Source organism: Homo sapiens, chromosome 5 (genome assembly GCF_000001405.40).
Source record: "Homo sapiens chromosome 5, GRCh38.p14 Primary Assembly".
Lineage (NCBI taxonomy): Eukaryota > Metazoa > Chordata > Mammalia > Primates > Hominidae > Homo > Homo sapiens.
This window is the reverse complement of record NC_000005.10, coordinates 38,291,943-38,313,683: the sequence shown is the minus strand read 5'-3', so window position 1 is coordinate 38,313,683 and position 21,741 is coordinate 38,291,943. Positions and strand designations below refer to the sequence as shown.

The following is a 21,741-nucleotide window of genomic DNA, read 5'->3' as shown; positions in this document are numbered from 1 at the left end:
AGACAAGTTTTTTTAAATGGTAGAATCCAGTTCTATAAAGGGAGTGTTTTTATATGTTTTGATTAGTTATTTTACTTGGTAAAACTCTTTTAGAAAGTAATTAGGCGATGTATGATGACTCTTTAAAATATACTAATATGCCCTAGTATTAATACTTCTCACAATGTATCCTAATGAGATAATCTCAGATATGGAAAAAATATTTTATGCACGAGCATGTTCATCTCAATATATTTGTAATACTTAAAATTTAAAACAGCATGAATTCAGGTAAGATGTTAAAGCAAATTATGATAACATATTTGTACTTGATGGCCTATTACTGAAATGATGCTTGCCAAGAATTTAAGATAACACATGGAAACGTTTTTGTTATGATGCATGTAAACAAGGCAGTCTATGAAATGAATGCATGTACAATATAAAATTATGTAGAGCCTCCCTTTGTATCTGTCTGAGCTAAAAAAATTATGCAGAGCAAAATCATGAGATAAAAAAATCAGAAAAGATTAATTGTGTTTGGCTCAAAACCATTAATTATTATGTCTACTTTTCTGTATATTTTATTTACTTATTTTATTTTATTTTTTTTGAGACAGAGTCTTGCTCCATCCATCACCCAGGCTGGCATACAGTGGCACCATCTCAGTTCACTGCAACCTCCACCTCCGGGGTTCAAGCAATTCTCCTGCCTCAGACTCACGAGTAGCTGGGATTACAGGTGCACACCACCACGCCCAGCTAATTTTTGTATTTTTACTACAGAGGGGTTTTTACCATGTTGGGCAGGCTGGTCTTGAACTGCTGACCTCAGGTGATCCACCCACCTCCACCTCCCAAAGTGCTGGGATTACAGGTGTGAGCCACTGCACCCAGCCCGCATACTTTAACTTTTCTCTAAAGATCGTGCATTACTTTTATGACAGAAAAATAAGCATCTTCATAATTGATAGTAATAATTGAGTTTTGACTGTGTCAGGTGCCAAGCTTTGGGCACTTTACAAAATCAGGACAAGTACCTACAACCAAAGGCAGAAGAATAACATCTAACACATTTTAGATGCCAGATATATTTTAACTGATCCCATATATTTATCCTGTAGGTGTTATTATCATCCCTGTTTTACATATAAGAATCTGAGGTGGCCAGGCGCGGTGGCTCACGCCTGTAATCCCAGGACTTTGGGAGGCCGAGGCGGGCGGATCACGAGGTCAGCAGATCAAGACCATCCTGGCTAACATGGTGAAACCCCGTCTCTCTAAAAATACAAAAAATTAGCCAGGCGAGGTGGCAGGCGCCTGTAGACCCAGCTACTCCGGAGGCTGAGGCAGGAAAATGGCATGAACCTAGGAGGTGGAGCTTGCAGTGAGCCGAGATTGCACCACTGCACTCCAGCCTGGGCGACAGAGCGAGACTCTGTCTCAAAAAAAAAAAAAAAATCTGAGATACAGAGAGATAGAGTAACTTTTGCAAAACCACACAGCTGGTGAGCATGTGATGGAACCACGATTTGAACCAAGACAGATTGGCTCCAAAGCCAGCACTTGTAACCACACCATACAGAGATTATTGCATTTAATCATCACAACACCCCTGGGAATAAAGTAACTATTATTATACCGCATTATAAATGAGAAAACAGGCTTTGAGAATTAAATGACGATGGTTACAGGGCTAGCAAGAATGGACTCATACCCCAGAATCCCCTCCCCTTCCAAACCACTGGATTAAATTGCCTTGTGAAATAAACAATATATATATAAGTCCCATACTTCTCTCTTTTTTCCTCTGCTGCTCCCTTTTTCTTGGTTAAGGGAATAGAGCCTCATTGCTCAGTTTGTCGTTTGTCCAAGGACCTCCTGTAACCATTCCTTCCTTCTGTTTCTTTGCCTTTTTTGCATCCCCTTCTCATTGTCAGCAACTCTAGGATTGCCAACTTCACTTCAAGTTTGTGATTTGTTAAATATCTTGGTAGGGAGGGAAGTGTAAGGGCTTTTCAATGTTTTATAGATGTCTTTATTTCCATTCTTGCTGTCATTATTGCCAAAAACAGAAGAAACGAAAAAAATGCAAAAAACAGGCAGGTTTGTCCATCAATGGACGAACAAAGAAAATGTACACACACAATGGGATACTATTTAGCCTTTTAAAAAAGAAGGAAATCTTGTTATTTGCAACAGCATGGATGAAACTGAAGAACACTACATTAAGTGAAATAAGCCAGGCACAGAAGGACAAAGATCGCATGATCTCACTTACATATAGGATCTTAAAAAGTCGAACTCACAGAAACAGAGTAGAATGGCGGTTACCAGGCAGGGGCTGGGGGACTGGGGAGATGCTGGTCAAAGGATACAAAATTTCAGTTAGACAAGAGGAGTAAGTTCAAGAGGTCTATTGTACAACATGATGACTGCAGTTAATAATAATGGATACTTGAAAACTGCTAAAAGAATAGATTTGAAATGTTCTCACCACAAATAAATGATAAGTATGTGTGTTGATAGACTTCCATTAGCCATTCCACAATGGCTGCATATTTCATAACACCATGTTGTACACCATAAATAAATATAATCTTTGTCAATTTTTAAACATTTGAAAAATAGACAGGTGGCTGCTGTATAGGAAATGCGACCAACCCATGGTTCCAAGTGGGAGAAGGAATGGCAAGGATCCAAGCAGAGGAAGGGTCGCAGGGCAGTGGGAGATTAAGGACGGGGTAGGTGCTGACCCCTGCATCTCTCTAGGGCTGTCCCCATCACAAGGCTCTGTGGCATAGCCAAAGTGTCACCCTCAGATGATCATTTTTCAGTAGTTCTCACACGTGAACAACTCTTTGTGACAAGGAAAGAGTTTATTGGCCAAACTGGCTTAAATAGTGGCGTGTCAGGTCAAGTGCCTGCGAAACAAGAATCTTTAGAAAGATCTATATCACTACATCTGCCACCTTGTGTTATGTTCAAAAATCGCCTGCAAATTCAAGCCACAAGGGTACATATGGATAATGGCCTTAATATTTATGTTAAGGCATTAGGGAAAAAAATTGATTTTTTTTTTCTTTTTGGGAGTTAAATCATAACACTCAATCAGAGAGATTCCTAGAGAAGGAGGTAAAAGAATGAAGAAGGTAGGAGGGAAGAAAGGAAATTGTACAGAAGGCATGGGTAGAATAGCTTCATATGAAAATAGCTAAAGAATAATTTTAACAGTTTTTGAGCCCTCCCTGTGTCACACAGGGTCTGACAAGTGCATATGTAGAACTCATTTAATCTTCATAGTCACCTCATGTAGTAGGTTGTTATATTATTCCCAGTACACAGATGAGGAAACTCTGGTACAAAGTGTACAGATAGTAAGTGAGAGAGCATGGATTTGGACTCCAACTCTCTCACCCTGGAGCCCACAGCTCTCAACCACTTTCCTAATCTGAAGAAAGCAACCTCAGAGCAAAACAGTGGCTTACAATAAATAAATGAAGAGGAGGAAAGATTATACTGTTTGGGGATTTGGAGGATTACCAGCTAGAAAAACATATGTGAAAGGTCATCCCAATCTGTTTAGCCACTTTAAAAGATAAGACTTGACTGTTGCTCTAGGGATGAAATAGCATCTAGTGTCAATGCTTCTCTGTGTGTTCCTCAAACACTCGGCAATCCTTGAGGTCCTGAATGGTGCTAGCAACTTGGAATTCCCCATCATGGCCTACTTGAGCCATCGCTGTCATGGCTGATGCCATCGTCTGGCATTACACTAGCAGTGGCATTTGGTGTTACTGTGCAATATTGGGTCACTGTCATTTATTAAGGTGTAGGCAAGTTGGATTTTGCCTGTCCCCTAAAGAGCTAAATTTACTGTCCTGAAGTGGACTGGCTGTCCCCTTTGGATGTTGTACCGGAGTGAGAGGGACAATTAAACAAAAGAAGCAAGTGCTAGGCTGAAATATAAGCATTCTCAGACACCAGCCACACGGGGAGCTGCAACCTTCATGTATGCTTTACGGTACAAACACAGTGTTCTTGACTCAAGGCTTTAGGTCACATTGTCCAAGTGTTCCTTTGCTTACAATGAGTACACACAGCTGATGGTTGTGGGCTTCTCAGTATGGGGTACATTGGGCTCAAAAAACAGAAAAGGAGAGAGAGGGCAGAGCAATTCACACCACAGGCTAATGGGGTGAGGCAAAATCTCACTGCCTTTCACTCCCTCAGTTTCTTTTCCCTACTAGTGCTAGTGATGGGCTTAAATATAATCAACATGCAGTGGGCAAGAGAAGAGTGAAATGTTTTCATTACTGTTTGCATGTCTCAACCTTGCCTATACTCAGTGGTGTGCTGGTAAAAGTTTTTCCGAAAGACCCAATTTGTAGAGCATACCAATTTCTGTGGTGTAAATACTCATACCATGGCCAATTTTAAGTTACCATTGTAGTATCAATGAACATGACTTTGGGAAGAGATGTGCAGTAGCACATTATTATGTAGTATGTACTTCCATGGTACAAATAGTAGATGTAAATAACTTCAAGAATACAGACAACACAAAAATGTAGTAAAATAATTAGTAAGTGATGAGTTTTGAGCATTTGATGATAAATTCATATAACATAATTTAATTTTTAATAATGGCTATGTTGGCAGCTGGTTTGCAAAATCCCTGAAAATTTAACAATTGGCTCTTGTGAGTCTGTAGGAGCTGTCTCTAGTACACCAGTGTTCCTAATTCTATACAGCTACCAACACAACATTTCAGATTCCTAGCTAGTCAGAGCCCACATATTGTTGTACAGTTGGGCAATGCAGTGCACAACCTGTTCAACTCAACACAGCAACCTTGTAGGTGATATGCAAACCAGGGCGTATCTTGGTTCTTCATTCCGGATTCTTTCTTCTCCCACAGTGCTCTTCTGTCTGACTACCTTGGTGAGATGGGCCTGATAGAAAGGAGCATTTAAGAGCTCTCTGACCTCTATCTCTTTCCCTAGAGTCAATCATCATCCTCATCTTCCTTATTGCTACCTTTTTTTTGAGCATCTATTCTAGTTCTGAGTTCTTAACATAATTTACTTTTAAACCTTGGGGTGACCCTAAAAGTAAGCATTAAATATCCTAGTTTTTGGATGAGGAAACCCAAGAAAGTTTAAGTAACTTGCTTAAGGTCATGCAGCTAGGAAAAAAAATGCCAAAGCCAGGCTTCTGATCCAGATCTGTCTGGTTCCAAAATTGGTGTTCTTCCAATGACACCAAGTTGCCAAGCTTCTTTCCCTTGGTACATCCCAGCCTTCAGCATGCGGAGGGTCTCATGAGCAGAAGTCACCCAGTCAGAGCTTCACCAAGGGAAAAGAGAAAGAGCAATAAGGACATTGACAAGTGGCCCCATTGGCAGGCAGGGCCCCACAGCCCTGTGAAGGAGGTAACAAAAGGGACAAGAGTAGGCCTGGCTGATTTTAAAATGTTAACAAGAACTCTGTGGCTGTGCCACTTTGGTGTAGTAAAGGCTACCCTTTTGTCTTTTATTTAGCAATTGTGAGAGGGGAGAGGTTTTGAAAGGGACTATTTAAAAAGCACGTAGAGGAAGAAGTCTGTTTATTCCTAAGGGGACATCTTTCCAACAACATATTTTTCTGGGAAACTATTCTTTCCCACACAACAGTATGGTGATGGAATAACCAGGCCTTCCCCAGAAGCTGGAAAGGAAACAAACTGAAACAAACTGAGACCCAAGAGTCAGAGCATACCAGAGAAACATCAAGACAGCAGTCAAAGCCAAGAAAGCCATGCCCACCCCTCAGGCTGGACTGGGCAGCAAGGCCACAGGTCACTGTAACTCTGGGGTCAAAAATGTTGGAAAATCCTACCCAGTGAATTTGTAGATCCTTAGGCATATGGTCCCCTGCATGTCTAAGCAGTTTCCAGTATTTCTTTAGTTGGACTGACATGCAAAGAGAAAGATCACTGGCAAGAGAATAATATGCAAAGAGTAATAGGAAAAACAGCAGCAATTTTTTCAGAGCTGTGTGACAAAGTGGAGCTCAGCAGAGATTTAGGGCTACACCAGGTATGGATTAGTCCATTCTCATGCTTCTATAGAGAGCTGCCTGAGACTGGGTAATTTATAAAGGAAAGAGGTTTAATTGACTCACAGTTCCGCAGGCCTGAAAGGCCTCAGGAAACTTACAATCATGGCAGAAGGTGAAGGAAACATGTCCTTCTTCACATGGTGGCAGGAAGAAAAAGGGCTGAGTGAAGGGGAGCCCCCCATAAAACCATCAGATCTTGTGAGAATTCACTCATTATCATGAGAACAGCATGAGGGATACCATCCCCATGATTCAATTCCCTCCCACTGGGTCCCTCCCATGACATATGGGGATTATGGGAACTACAATTCAAGATGAGATTTGGGTGGGGACACAGAATCAAACCATATCAAGATACCAGGTGCAACAGATAGACAAATAAAAATAGGAATATGTTATCTGTTACTGAAAAACAACCCCAAAACTTAATGGCTTAAAATAATGATATTATTTATTTATTCACAATTCTTCTATTTGGGCTGAGCTTGGTGAAAACAATTTGTCTCAGCTCCACACAGCATCAGTGGGTTGGCCTGACTATGACTGGAGGATCCACTTCCAAGATGACTTACCCACACTGGGGACTAGGCACTAGTGCAGTTGGCTAGAAGCTCAGCCGGGGCTAGCGATCCAGGGCCTTGGTTCTTGGTTCTTGCTGCCAGCCGGGTTTATTGATTCTCCTGTGTGAGGACTCTTCATATAGTAGTTACACTGAGCTTCCCCACAGTATAATTCTCTTAGGGTACTTAGATTTCCTATGTGCAGAAACTGTTAGGACTTTGTAAGGCTGAGGCCTGAAATTGACTAAATATCACATCTTCTGCATCCTATTGATTAAAGCAAATCACAGGGCTGCCCCTGTCCAAGGAGAGGGTACTACAGAAGTGTGTGGATACCCACAGGAGGCATCATACATTGGGGAATCACTAATGTAATAGACAAAGAGTGATCTTTCTCACTAGTCTGAGGAAAATTGTATATTCCGCATGTAACTACAATGTATATATAAATACAATAAATTAGGGTTACATGAAAGCAAAAAGAACATAAATCATAGAATAGCACCAATAGCTGCCACTGCAATTCAGTAAAATGGCCCTGAACATGAGATATCGAACTATAATAGCCATCATGGGGGAGGAACGGTAGCTTTCCTGTGAGCCCAGAGGCCAGGCCAGGCCAGGCCACCAGCAACCAGGACTTCAGCCTAGCCACGCAGCCATCTGGTGGAAAACACATGCTTCTTCTGGGGCCCATTGTCTTAGAAGAGATACTACCAAGTGATCAAATGTTGAACTTGATATGTGAGTTGGCTAACAATTTGGTGCCCCTTCAAAGTGATGCTCTCTCTTTTTAAAAAAATCACAGTAATTCAGGTAAGATTTCTATTCATTAGGCCTAGAACTTTTCCACTTTTATAATCAAGGAATCATTTATTAGACTGCTCATCTATTTCAGTCATAATGACACCATGATGAATTAGCCAACACCAAAGAGCTCTGTAGGTCAGGCCATTCTGATTACTGCTTGGCTCTACTGCCAATTATCATAACCATGGTCACCCACTCAGTCTCTGGTGATTAAGTGCTACCTCTTGGCTCACATAACCCAGTATCCCATCATCCCCACTGAATTTAGGGAGCCCACTTTGATGCAGCCATTTACACTCTCAATTCTGGCTTACACAGAAGAAGCCTCTACCAAGTTCCTTAAGGATGCCAGGACACACCTAATGAATGTCTGTCCTACTGCCTTGGTGAAGGACAAGTCCTCTGAACATTTCTGGGGTCACAGCGAGAGGGTGACATGCAGAACCTACATAATAAATTCACTCCAGTGTTCTAATCTTCCTAGTTTGGATTCCCTGGAATAATATAAAATTTGTACTTTTGCCAGTCTTTTAAATCTCTTCTCAAGACATTCAGACATGTCAGATGTTTTATCAACATTATTTTGGGGAATAAGTTTCATCCAGAGCCTACTGACCTGTTCCAGTTGGACTGGTTGCCTTTTCTATCTAGTAAATATTTGTCATTCTAGCATCTCCTTCCCACTATTATTCTGGGGACTTCTTATATCCCTCTCCTGGATTGGATCTTCTGTTTCCTGCAGCTTTGGTCCTGCGTCATGGTTCTGTCCAAGTTTTCGTGACAGTCATCCTCCAACACCTTCCTGAGAAAAGATGTAAAGGAGGTAAATGTAGTAAGAGTCTTCTATCATCCTTCATTGATAGTTTGGCTGGGTATGGAATTCTAGGTTAGAAATAATTTTCCTTCAGAATTTTGAAGTAATTGCCCTGCAATCTTCTTGCTGCCAGTATTGATGGTAAGTCCAAAGCCATTTTGATTCTTGACTTTTCTTGTTTTTGTTTTTACTTTCTGGAATTTTGTAGCATTTTCTTTTCATTTCCTGGCTTTGGTCTATTTTCATCTTTTTGTATCTCTGAACTATTTTATTGGTAATATCTCCTTGGTTTTTTCTCTTTTCTTCCTTTGTAGAATGCCTGTTATTTGTACAGTTTATGTCCTGAATTGAGGCACTAATTTTCTTTTCTCTCCTTTTTGCCATCTCTTTATTTTTTTGTTCTACTTTCCAAAAGATTTCTCCAAATTTCCTTTTAATCCTTAAGTGAGTTTTCCATTTCTGATATCATATTATTAAAATCCCAAGGCTCTTTTTGCCCTTTTGTTATTATTCATTTACTTTTATATACTATCCTGCTCATGTTTACAGTTGTAGTATTTTATCTGTCTAGGGATCTAAGTGAATACTGTTTTTTTGGTGTGTTTCTGTTACATTTTTCTTCATGGTCTCTATTTCCTCCAAGATATTTCGACTTTCTGGTGTTGGCTTTTATCTTTCATGTTAGAGGCACTGTTTAGATGCTTAGGAATCCTTGATTATCTGCTCATATTTAAGTGTTCATGAATAAAAAACTCATTGTAAACTTTGTGTGTGTGAGTGGGGATTCTTGACTGTGAACTTTACTGTAGCTGTTTTGAGAGTTTTCAATATCAATATCATTATGTTTTTCTTCTTAGGCTGGTCACATCCCAGGGAAGATCTTTCAATATCCTACCTAAAGGAACAAGTCTGACCTAAATAGGGGAACTGAGCAGGGAAGAAGACTGAGGTCTCCGCATCCCATGTATATATACTTTTCAGTATGGTACCCATATCTCCAATTGTGATGGATGCCCCCTGTTCACAGACCTTTTGCTTTTAACTAGTCTTTTGGGAAGAGGGAGGGGATTGCCTGGCTATGCAGACATTGGAAAGAGATATGGAATGCTGACACTTCTCAATCATACTTTCAATCAGTCTTCTTTATCTTCTCTTTTATCTTCTACTTCCAGAAGTACTTGGTACCAAACTCTGAGAATTTATGGGAATTCCAAAGGGTAAATCTGAAGGTTCTCAGTGTTCCTTAATGCTAGCTTTAGATTCTGTTTTCTTTCTTTCTTTTTTTTTTTTTTAATGGAGTTTTGTTCTTGTTGCCCAGGCTGGAGCGCAATGGCGTGACCTTGGCTCACTACAACCTTCGCCTCCCAGGTTCAAGCGATTCTCCTGCCTCCGCCTCCTGAGTAGCTGGGATTACAGGCCACACCTGGCTAATTTTTTTTACTTTTTAGTAGAGACAAGGTTTCACCATATTGGCCAGGCTGGTCTTGAACTGCTGACCTCAGGTGATCCACCTGCCTCAGCCTCCCAAAGTGCTGAGGTTACAGGCATGAGCCACCATGCCAAGGCTATATTCTGTTTTCTTATGTCTGTTAAGTTGTTTATCACTTTTCCATCTACCTTCCGTTTTGAAATTTTGTGACTGTTACCATTTTTTTGGAAAAAAAGCATTTATAGTAATTTTAGTGGAGCTTTGAGTAGGGGCAACAGTAGCTGTGTGTTTAACCTACACTCGTTGCCTTCAACATTTGAGCAGAAACCCAAAAAAATATTTTTGACATATACAAGCAATACTTATTTAGAAAGCTAGGCTGCTCACTACTTTAGGGAAGACAAAGAAGAGTGAGTGATCCACAGCTTCAGTTTTATTGCCTAGCAATTCAGCTCTGGCCCCAGACTTGCCTAGCTCTCTCAGCAAAACTCAGAAGCCCTATAGATAACTGGACTCATCTCCCCTACACAGCATTTTATAGACTCTTTGTTAACAAGAATTCCCCTTGAAGGTTTTACCCCATTCACTCCATCCCCAAGCATCTTTATAATATTTATCTTCCAGTCGTAAATTACTGTCTGTAAGAGGTGTTCTTGTAATTACCATTGTCTTCATCTTATATTTCCAGTGAAATTTTTACTTCCTTGTGATATTTTAGCATTCTTCAGGCGACTGCTCAGCTGCCTCTCCCCTAAATTTTTCACTGATTGAAGAGTGATGAATACTATAGTAGACTTGGGGAGACAACTCAGATTTGGGGAATGTTTTTCTCTTTAATGAAGTCCTTTAAAGAGTGTGCTGGGTAAATCCCAAGGACAATGGGTATATTTCTGCTCTTCCACAACTACTACATGCTTTTCTTCTCTATGAAATGGGAATGGCAACCCTTCCCTATCTTTCCTCACAAGCAGCTGCACAAACTGAGTTAAATGACACCTGCTAAACCCGGGTATTCTAAGAATCCAGAATGAGCTCATTATTGAATCTGGGCTGTTAAGGCATGAGGATAGCCAGGAGTAGTGAGGATGGAGGTTTCTCATGAAATCCTCACTCAGACTCTTATGGCCTGTTTGGAAAAAATACTCAGAAGCTGAGATAACTAAGGTTTGTCTCTTACCAGGTGTCAGGGAAGCTTTAGAAAAATCTATATGGTCTACTTTACAGCTACTTAAACAAGGGAGAAAAGGCTTGTTTTCCATGTTCTTTTTTTTTTTTTTTTTTGATTCTCAGACAACTTATAAATAAATCTCTTAAAGAAACAGAGTCTGAAATGTCAAGAGTCTGTGTGCGGAAGTGCTTCTGAACTGTTGGGGGAAAATGAACCCAAGAAATGGAGATAAAGTTAATTATATTTTAGAAAGGAAACCCTTCTCCTCTTGCTAATTTACTGACCATTTGTTTCATGTCAAAATTTATATTTACATTTATTCTATCTTTGAATTCTTATAATGATCTTATGAGGTAGTCATTATTATTGACCCCATAATGCAGTTAAGAAAATGGAGGCTCAGAGACTTGCCCAAGGTCATGGAGCAGGAGGATGGCCCAGCTGAAATGTGAATGCAAGCTTGTCTGATTCCCACGTCTACGCCATGTTTGTCATTATTATCCTCAAGGAACTCTGACTTTAAATAACCAGTCTACGTTACAAAATCTATACATGTGATTGAGACTGATTTTTTTTTTTTTTTTTTGAGATGGACTTTCACTCTGTCACCCAGGCCGGAGTGCAATGGCACTATCTCGGCTCACTGCAATCTCTACCTCCTGAGTTCAAATGAATCTCCTGCCTCAACCTCCTGAGTGGCTGAGATTACAGGTGCCCGTCACCATGCCCAGCTAATTTTGTATTTAGTAGAGACGGGGTTTCGCTACGTTGGCCAGGCTGGTCTCAAACTCCTGACCTCATGTGATCCACCCACCTTGGCCTCCCAAAGTGCTGGGATTACAGGTGTGAGCCACCGCCCCTGGCCTGATCTCCTCCTGTCACAAGATTAAGCAGGACCTTTGAGGCTGTCAGGGGAGGGAGATATTGGAAATTGATGCCAACTTCATACCAGGCACTGGACAACAAACTTGCCTGGCAATAAGATGCTTGGGTTGATTTAGACATGACTGGTAACCAGCTCTTCCCAAACTCTCAGAATGTAACAAGTTTCAACCTTAACGTAGCTCTTTTTCTTCCCATTATTATTTTCATCTCATTCCCACCCTACCCCCCTTCAAGCTCCATGACCCAAGCATAATTCTTTGGATTTCTATGTTAACCCTAGCACAGAAAGATGTCATAATGCTATTTAAAGAACCTGAACTATACATCACTTAAACCTACTATTGTTTTTCCCATCTCAAAAAATTCTCCTGACCCTGTTTCTCCAGGCAACTACCACCCATTTCTTTTATCCTCTTTCCAGCAACCAAGAGTCATCTATACCCACTGTCTCCGATTCCTCCCCTCCCATTTTCCTTTAAACTCCCCTCAGTCAGTTTTCACCCTCACTATGCTGCTAAAATACCTTTCTTCAAAGGCACCGGTGTCCTCTGCCTTTGCTTAAACCCCACGGCCAGTTCTCTGTTCTCACCGTACTTGACCTCTCAACAGCATTTGCAAGGTGATCACTTGCTCCTCCTGACAGTCTTCACTTGGGTTCCAGGTTTCCTTGGGAAACCCTCTCCTGGTTTCCTCCTGGTTTTACTTCATTCCCCCTGAGAATCTCTTGTGGGTTCTTCCTTATCTCTCTGGCTTCTTCATTTTTAGCACCTGGTGACCTCAACACACTTGGCTTTCAGTACCATTGTTCTGACCACAGTTTCTCCTCTGAACTCCAGACTTGTATATTCAACAGCCATCCTGACACATGGATGTCTAACAAGCAACTCCCATGTAACAACACCTCCAAGACAGAACTCCTGATCTCCCAACCACCACCAAATCTGCTTCACTCAGTCTCTCTCATCTGACTTGACATAAAGTCCTTCCTTCTAGTTGCTCAGGCTAAAAATCTCAGCATTATTCTCTGCTCCTTCCTCTTTTACGCATAACTCATCCACAGGGTCAGGAAATTCTGTTAGTTTTATCTTCAAAGTATTGCCCCAATTTAATCACTTCTCACCACCTCTGCTGCTTGCTACAACCCTGAACTAAGCCACCATCTTCTTTCTCCTGGATTACTGCAATTACCTCCTAACAGATTTCTCTGTTTCTATTTTTATTCTCAACACAACAGCCAGAGCTTTACTTCAAAATGAAAAATATGGCCGGGCGCGATGGCTCATGCCTGTAATCCCAGCATTTTGGGAAGCCAAGGTGGGTGATCACTTTATATCAGTAGTTCGAGACCAGCCTGGCCAACATGGTGAAAGCTCGTCTGTACTAAAAGTACAAAAATTAGTTGGGCATGGTGGCATGTGCCTGTAGTCCCAGCTGCTCAGGAGGCTGAGGCAGGAGAAGCACTTGAACCCAGAAGGCGAAGGTTGCAGTTAGCCGAGATTGCGTCACTGCACTCCAGCCTGGGCTGAACAGAGTGAGACTCCATCTCAAAAAAAAAAAAAAAAGAGAGAGAGATAGAGAAGAAGAGAAGAGAAGGGAAGAATACAACAGGGTTATTCCTCTGCTCAAAACCAGCAGTGGCTCCTCATTTGACTCAGTGTAAATGTGCCCCTTGGGACTGTGCATGATTTGACCCGGTGGTGCAGCCACCCAGGCCTTTATGTTCCTGGAACAGGCCAGCCACACCCCCACCTCGGGACTTTTCACTGGTTGTTCTTCATATTGCTGACTACCTCACTTCCTTTAACTGTTTAACCTTCTCAGTGAGACCAATCTGACCACTCCATTTAAAACTGCAACCCTTCTCTTTCTTTGCCTAGCATTCCTTATCCTCCTTACTTGGCAACACTTCTTACTTTTCTATAGTACTACACATATACATTGATGTATTTATTTTCAGATTGTTTATTTTTTCTGCTTGAGTATAAGTTCTATGGCAGCAGAAAACAGAGTCTGTTTTTGTTCATTAAGGCATCCCAAACACCTAAAAACACTGCCCAGCACATAATACATGCTCAATAAATACATGTCAAGTGAATCCTAACACCTTTCTGGGAGGCTGGCTATCAGAATTTGCAGCTTTCAATCATTGCAGAAGGCAAATGAAGAACCAGCATATTATCTAGTGAGGGCAGGAGCAAGAGAGAGTGGGGGAGACGTCATGCTCTTTTAAGCAACCAGATCTTGCATGAACTCAGAGTGAGATGACCTCTGGTAAATGATAGAGTATTTAATACCATCTCAAAACCCCAACACAGGAGTTTCTACTAATGATTTAAAGGCCCAGAGATGATCCAACAATCTCAGAGCAAGAACTCACTCATCACCAAGGCAATGGTGCTAAGCCATTCAAGAGGGATCCGCCCCCATGACCCAAACACCTCCTGCCAGGGCCCACCTCTGACATTGGGGATTACATTTCAACATGAGATTTGCAGGGAACAAACATCCACACAATGACACACGCCATAGCCAAGCCTCACCTTGGCTCACTGTCTTGCCACAGTGTCCTGAATTCTAAATTCTCACTGGGCTGTGGCTTCTATATGTAAGCCACATAATACATGGATACTTTTAGGTAAATGAGAACAAGTAGGCAAAAAAAGTTGTATTTTTCCACAGTAATGAGCACCTGAGTAGGCACAGTCTTGTCTGTTCTCATTCTTCCTTGTGTGTTACACAATAAAAGCCATAGCCGAGGGGCAGCACATGGTAGTGACCAAGAGAAAAGTCTCTGGACCACAGAACCTGGGTTCACAACCTGCCTCTACCACTCACTAGTTATAATTCCCAGGGGTCATTTCCTTATCTTTCTGTGCCCCAGCTTTCTCAACTGTTACATAGGAAGAAATCATTGTGCCCATATCCAATATTGTTTTAAAGATGTGCAGTTTAGGATTAAGTTAGCTAATACAAGGTAAGAAATGTGGCACTTTGGGAGGCTGAGGCAGGTGGAGTTCGAGACCAGCCTGGGCAACATGGTAAAACCCTGTCTCTATAAAGAATACAAAAATTAGCTGGGCATGGTGGTGTGCGCCTGTGGTCCCAGCAACCCAGGAGGTGGAGGTGGGAGGATCACCTGAGCCCAGGAGGTTGACACTACAGTGAGCCATGATTACACCACTGCACTCCAGCCTGGGTGATAGAGTGAGACCCTGTCTCAAGAAAAAAAATAAAAAAGATAAGAAACTTAAAACCATGCTTAATATATAATAAACATTCCACAATCTTAGCTAATGTTTGTCAATATATTTACATATTGTATTGATATTTATTTTGGTGATTTAGTGGGAGGTTTACCTTTATTGTTCACAGGCATTCAGATAGGGCTGTATAATAGAGTATTAATACCATCTCAAAACCCCAACACAGGAGTTTCTACAAATGATTTAAAGGCCCAGAGATGATCCAACGAATTGGGGCTTGTGGAAGTGTGAGCTCAATAGGACTGAGTGAGGGAGCTATTTGTACAGCACCATGCCCCTAGGGAGAGGCAGAGAAGGTACAAGGAGCTGAGATGTTTTACATCTTTCCTAATCAGAGAACCCTGGAAGACAGTACCTAAAAATTATCTCTAATGATGACTCTGACATTGCTCAAATTCAGCTGGAATTATAGTCTATTAAAGCCAAAGCCTTTAACAATGCCAGTTGCTGTACAGGCGGGAAAGAAGAAAACGTCAAAGAAAGACTCATTGCTAGTAAATGTTCCCAGCCTTAGCATGTCAGAAAACCATCTCCCCCCTGCTCTGAGCAGACAACAGATCCCCTCTTATCTACGTTGTCAAGCTTGGAGATGTTTCCGGAGTCTTCACAAGCCCTTGAAGTCTTCAGTTTTCTCCAAGCCGCTCTTCCCAGGATGTTCTTTACGTGCTGTGTGAATTTTGGCTCAAGGACACTGGATCCTGACTGAAATGCCCTGGAGCAACATTGTCCTTACGACAGTAATGGGGAGTGGATCCCAGCTGCAAGCCATCTCCTCTTTGGCCACTTCTCTTTACAAAATGATTTAGGACCTGTGGGTGCCCAGAAATAGCTCTGAATCTTTGGTGAGAGGTTTTCAGAGCTGAGAAATTACTGGTACAGCTCCTACTGCTGTAATTTGGATAGTGAGCCCAGGGACAATAAGCATGATCCTTTGGCGCTAATCACACTTACTAAAGAATGACTCTTGCTAGCTTTTTGCCTGAGAAGTGTGACTTTAAAGACCAGGTAATTGCTGCCGAGGACAGGCTCAGGGTCAAGCAAGTTTAGCGTTCTTAAAAGCTTCTTTCCATTTCAGATGTGATTTAGTCTTCATATAACCTAGGCTTTAGAAAAATTCCAAAATCCACAGTGCAGAATCCAAAGTAATAAAATATCCAACTGCCAGTTTAATGCTAAACCAAAATTGTGTGATTTGAAATTCATTGCCAAGAGATTAGATATTTTTAAAATTCTAGGAATATCTATGTTTCTGGATAAGTAAATAACGGAAAACAATGGCCTTTATTTGGCCCAAAGATGACTCTCTAAGGATACAATAAGATCCCTGACCTCTCTCAATTTAACTACACCATTATCTTTAATTTTTTAAGCTTTTTATTTTGAAATAAGTTTATACTTACAGAAAAGTTGCAAAAATAGTATAGAGTTCCTTTATATCCTTCACCCAGCTGCCTCTAATGTTAAATCTTACATAACCATAATACAATGGTAAAAATCCAAAAAAATTAACATTCATACAAATTTTGCCAGTTTTCCACTAATGTCCTTTTTCTGTTTCAGGATCCAATCAGGATCTCATATTACATTTAGCTGTTATGATTCTTAATCTCCCCCGATCTGTAACAATTCCTAAATTTTTCGTTGTCGTTCATGACTTTCACACATTTTTTTGTTTTTTGAAGAGTACTGGTCGGTTGTTTTGTAAAATATCCCTCAATTTGGGTTTGTAATTTTTTTTCACAATTAGATTGCGGTTATAAATTTTGCACAGGAATACCACAGAAGTGCCTTGCCCTTCTCAGTAAATTATATCAAGGGGTACACAGTGTCAATATGTCTTATTACTGGTGATGTTAATCCTAGTCACTGGAATAAAGTGATGTCTGCCCACTCCACTGGCAAGTGGAAAATTATATTTACATATATAATTACAAAATTACATACATATGTATGTAAAAATGCATATATTACAAATATAATTATAAAAATTATATTTTATAATTAATAAATATATTTGGGTGCAGACTACTGTGGTATTATGAATTATCCTATTTCTCTCAAACTTTTGCCCACTAATGTTGTCATCCACTGGTAGATCTTGCCTGCCTCAGTTATTATTGCAGTGTTTGCCTAATGGTGATTTTCTATTTCCCTTATTCCTTTGATGTTTATTAGTTGGAATTCTACTGTAAAGAAAATGCCATTCTCTTTAAGTGAGAGGCAGCTGAGTATACTGTGAAGCAGCTGAATTTAGATGAAACAGCATGGACTTCAGAGTCAAACTGGCTTCTGTGAGAATCCAGACTATTCAACTTACGGGGCTGCATATTCAGTAAGTTGATTCTATCATCATCACCATCATCATCATCAGATTAATGCTTACCTGCTATAAAACAACTCTTTAGCTTGGTTTAGAATAGCTAACAGCAATAAAAGTCAGAAGACTTTCTTTCCGCCTTGGCTCCTCCCACAAAGATGGAGACAACTCTTCTTCCTAACCTGAACCCATCAATACCCTATGGACCCTATTTTCCTTTTCTTTTTCTTTTTCCTGTACATCATTTCTTACCCCCACCCCAAATCCCCATGTTGAGCATCCGCAACATTTCTAAAACATTTCCTAGCCAGCACAGTTGGGTGTAACCAGGAATCAACAGACATGGCAACCCGTCCCCCACCCAACCACCAAAGTGCTTCACAATTATTTTGAGGTTTGTCTCTGATTGTGTTTTGCAATTTAAATAGCACTAATCCTAACTATATAACAAGTACTCCCCCACATTTCAGAATTGCAAATTGTACTACTTACACTGTGATATTTGCCTTCACAATATAGAGTTAAGGTCTTTTAACCCACTATCAATTGAAAAAGGAGGTTTGCTTAAACATGAAATACATTCTGCTTTACACAAGCATTTTTTCCTACCACAAGTGTGGAAGGAAGACAGGTTTTACTAGTTGCCTAATAACCATAATCTTACTTTATTGTTATTACATTTTGAGGATAGGGGAAGTTAAAAGGGGTAAATTTCACATCAAGGTCTACCTATCCATTCTAGTTTAAAATTTTAAAAGTAAGTCAGACTTCTATTTTTAATCAATTATATTCTAGACTTTCCCATGTAGTAAAATAATGAAATAATGAGAGTCTTCTAACCTACATCTGAAGCAAGGAAAAGGGGTGTTCTGTTTGGTCATTCCCTGTTCAGCAGTTTTTCAATCTAAACTTTATTCACAAGCCATATTTTTAAAAACTTTTTTAAATATATTATGTAAAAACATCCATTTATTCAAACGACCTCTCTCTGTCTTGACTACTACTGCAAATATGCTTTCCTTTCCAAGTCAAACTAATAAAAAGTGAATTAAAAAGCCCTGGTCACTGCAATATTCAATAAACTTTGTATTATAGTCAGTTGTTCAGATACAGCGGTTAGCAGGATCTAGCTGTGCTTCTTAGCCATGATGTGTTGCCATCAGCATGAGCTTCATTACAAGCATGTTATTACTAATTGTACCAAAAGTACCAAAGTTTAAGAATGAGTTGCGGCCAGGCGCAGTGACTCATGCCTGTATTCCCAGCACGTTGGGAGGCCAAGGTGGGTAGATCACCTGAGGTCAGGAGTTCGAGACCAGCCTGACCAACATGGAGAAACCCCGTCTTCACTAAAAATACAAAATTAGCTAGGACTCGTGGCATGTATGCCTGTAATCCCAGCTACTCGGGAGGCTGAGGCAGGAGAATCGCTTGAACCCAGGAGGCAGAGGTTGTGGTGAGCCGAGACTGCGCCATTGCACTCCAGCCTGGGCAACAAGAGCAAAACATTGTCCCCTCCACCAAAAAAAAGAATGAGTTGCTTTTTAAAATAAATCAAGGTAGATTTTAAGTTAAACCTTAATTAATATCATTTGGATTCAAATTATTATATACTTTCTGGAAAGGGAGATGAATGGTAAATTTATAGCTAGAACCAAGGTAAACCTGTAAAACCTATAGCCTTTCTAATTTTTTTTTTAACAATGAAAATGATGATGTATGGGAGCATCACCCTGTGACCATCATCTGCAATGTCATTTCAGCATTGGAGAGGGGTATTGGACCTTCTATGCTTATACTATAAAATTATACAACACCTGTGTATTTACTTATAGAAACTCAACTATATGCACTTGGCTATAGGGGTAGGTTAGATTACTGATAAAAAGTATTTAATCTCCTGCCCCAAAATGGAAGGAGCATACTTCTCAGCCTCTTTCACACTGGGGATGGCCATATTATTTGCTTTGGCTTCATAGTAAGCAAGGTATATATATGTCCCCACTCCTTATGTTTAAATTTAGAGATATTACCTGATTTGACCAATGAGATGTTAGCAGGTTTGATGCTTGAAGTGTTCTTGCACACTTGGGCTTCCCTCTTTTGCCTCTGTCATTGCCATGAGAAACTGATGCCCCCTTGGCCTGGGTCCCAGAATAGACATATGTGGAATAGACCGGAGTTTAACCTATAACAAGGAGTCCAAGCCCATGAGAACCTGCAGCTTGAAACACCACTGCCTTGTTGAGTCCAGCCTAGATCAGCCTGACCCCCACCAATCTGCAGAGACATGAGTGAGAATAGATGATAACTCTTACAAATCATTGAGTTTTGGTGTGGTTTTCCATAAAGCAATAGCTGGTTAGTAGAGTAATTTTAAAAAGAAAGAAACAGTAATATAGAGGGTGCTTAATGAGTGAGCACCTGGAGTGAGTATGAGCCAGGAGTCCTGAATTTACTGTTCCTTAATAGGTCTTAATTCCTATGTGCATCTGCCAGTGTGACATTCAAATCCTGAGTGAGATTTTGGTGTTTAAAGGGACATATTTTTCCTACAAATGGCTCCCAGGCTCCCAACATGAAAGTCATATGTGTAGACACCAAATCACATACGCTATATGAATAATCATAATAAAGATTTTCAAGAGTAATGTTGATTTATTACATAATTTTTATATAATGCAATATATAACCCTATATATAACCCTATAAAACCTGCAACTCCACCATTTGTATCTTGAAGAACCATATACTTTGGGGAACTAGTAAAGGAAAACAGCTAAGGAAAAAATATGTTTTCACATTTTGTGTGTGTGGATAACTGTTTATGATTAAAGTATTTCAGGAATGGAAGAAGTCCTTAAAGGAGGAATTCTTGTCAGCCAAGTCTCCATACTGTGCCAGTACAATAATAGCATTGATCATTGTTTTAAAGCCACTTAAAATTTATACAATGCACATGACTAAATTTAATCCTCACTGTAATTCTGTGGGCAATAAGTATTGTTATCCTTATTTAATTTACTTTACAAACAAGAAAACCAAAGTTCAGAAAGGTTGAAGATTCCATCTTGATGACACAGCTGAGACTGGCATAGGAACTGGAACTCAAGCCCATGTTTTCTGATTCAAATCCTATGTTCTTTCATACAAAAACAACTGCTATACTGCCCAGATTAGAAAGTCAAGGGTCTTCATAGTTTGAAGCACCAGATGAATTAAAAGGTTAAAAGTAAAAACCCTTATTAGACTAGAGTTCTCAGGCAATAGCATTTCAAACTCCTCCAAGTGGAAATGAAAAACATATGGAGTCAGAGTCTCAATGGCAGAAATAAAAGCTGCAACCTAAAAACAAACAAACAGAAAACAGGAAAAGACATTTCCAGTGAAGCTGCTTTTCACCAGGATAACTCTGTTTTATGTTCCATGGGGAAGAAAATAGACAGAGCAGGAAATTTTTTGTGATGATTAATGGTTCCCCATAGAAACTCTGACTTACCTCATCTAGTGTAATAATTATAGTTGTTCACATGGCTCTTTATGCTGTCTTTTCCTTCCAACATTGCCACAAAATTTAACTCCTCCAGAAAGTTCTCCTTGATTAATCACACATGCCACCCAACCCCCAGCCCTGATCAATCTTCTTACAGCTATTTATACAAAATTTTCATGATAGGAACACATACTTTTGCATAGTATACTTAAATTGCCTCTATGTGTACAGGTGGGTACTATCCCTTTAGTATACCTGGAATAGTTGTGCAATTTTGATACAGGAATAATATCAACTCAAGACCTGGGTGTTCAGTTAGCATTCAGCAGCGAACTGGGGAACACATGTGATTAACAAATGGGATGATTTCAAAACCTGGAAGATGAAAGCAAACTTTTAGGTTACCTGTACTTGCAAGAGACCGCCACTGGGCAGCCAACTTTTTCAATGTTTTCCTTTTAAACTTTTCATTTAAGCAGCAGTGACAAACACATGAAACACGACAAAGCCATTCCTCAAACAAACTCTTAGCCATGTAAGAACAAAGGAGTGGACAATGAAATCAGAAGGCAACTCATTTAACACAGATAAAAGAAAATGCTTTTTTTTGTCTACTGTATAATTAACTTATAAATTTGCTGTGCAGGAAATTATTGAAGCAAGTAATGTGATAAGACATTGTTAAGGATTTGATTAGGAATATTCTGTTTCTGCACATCTGGGGGGAAAATGAGAAAGGCCACTTATCTTTGGTTAGAGTGAATCACCATCTGTGGCCAGAAGTTTCTGTCTTGGGCTCAGCATTTCAAACTGAAGGTCAATATTAACAAGCAGGGGTTGGGGTTACCATGTTAGAAAACTTCACAGGTTGCAAAACCCAGAAAGTGACTCCATGGACGAGGCTGGGGCCATTGATTGTGCT

At 40.2% G+C, this 21,741-nt stretch overlaps 1 protein-coding gene across 2 annotated transcripts in view; it reads right to left on the bottom strand.

The window, feature by feature from the left end:
* EGFLAM (EGF like, fibronectin type III and laminin G domains) overlaps nucleotides 1-21,741 on the bottom strand; it is a 206,922-nt gene that overhangs the window by 151,797 nt on the left and 33,384 nt on the right. The window lies entirely within an intron of this gene.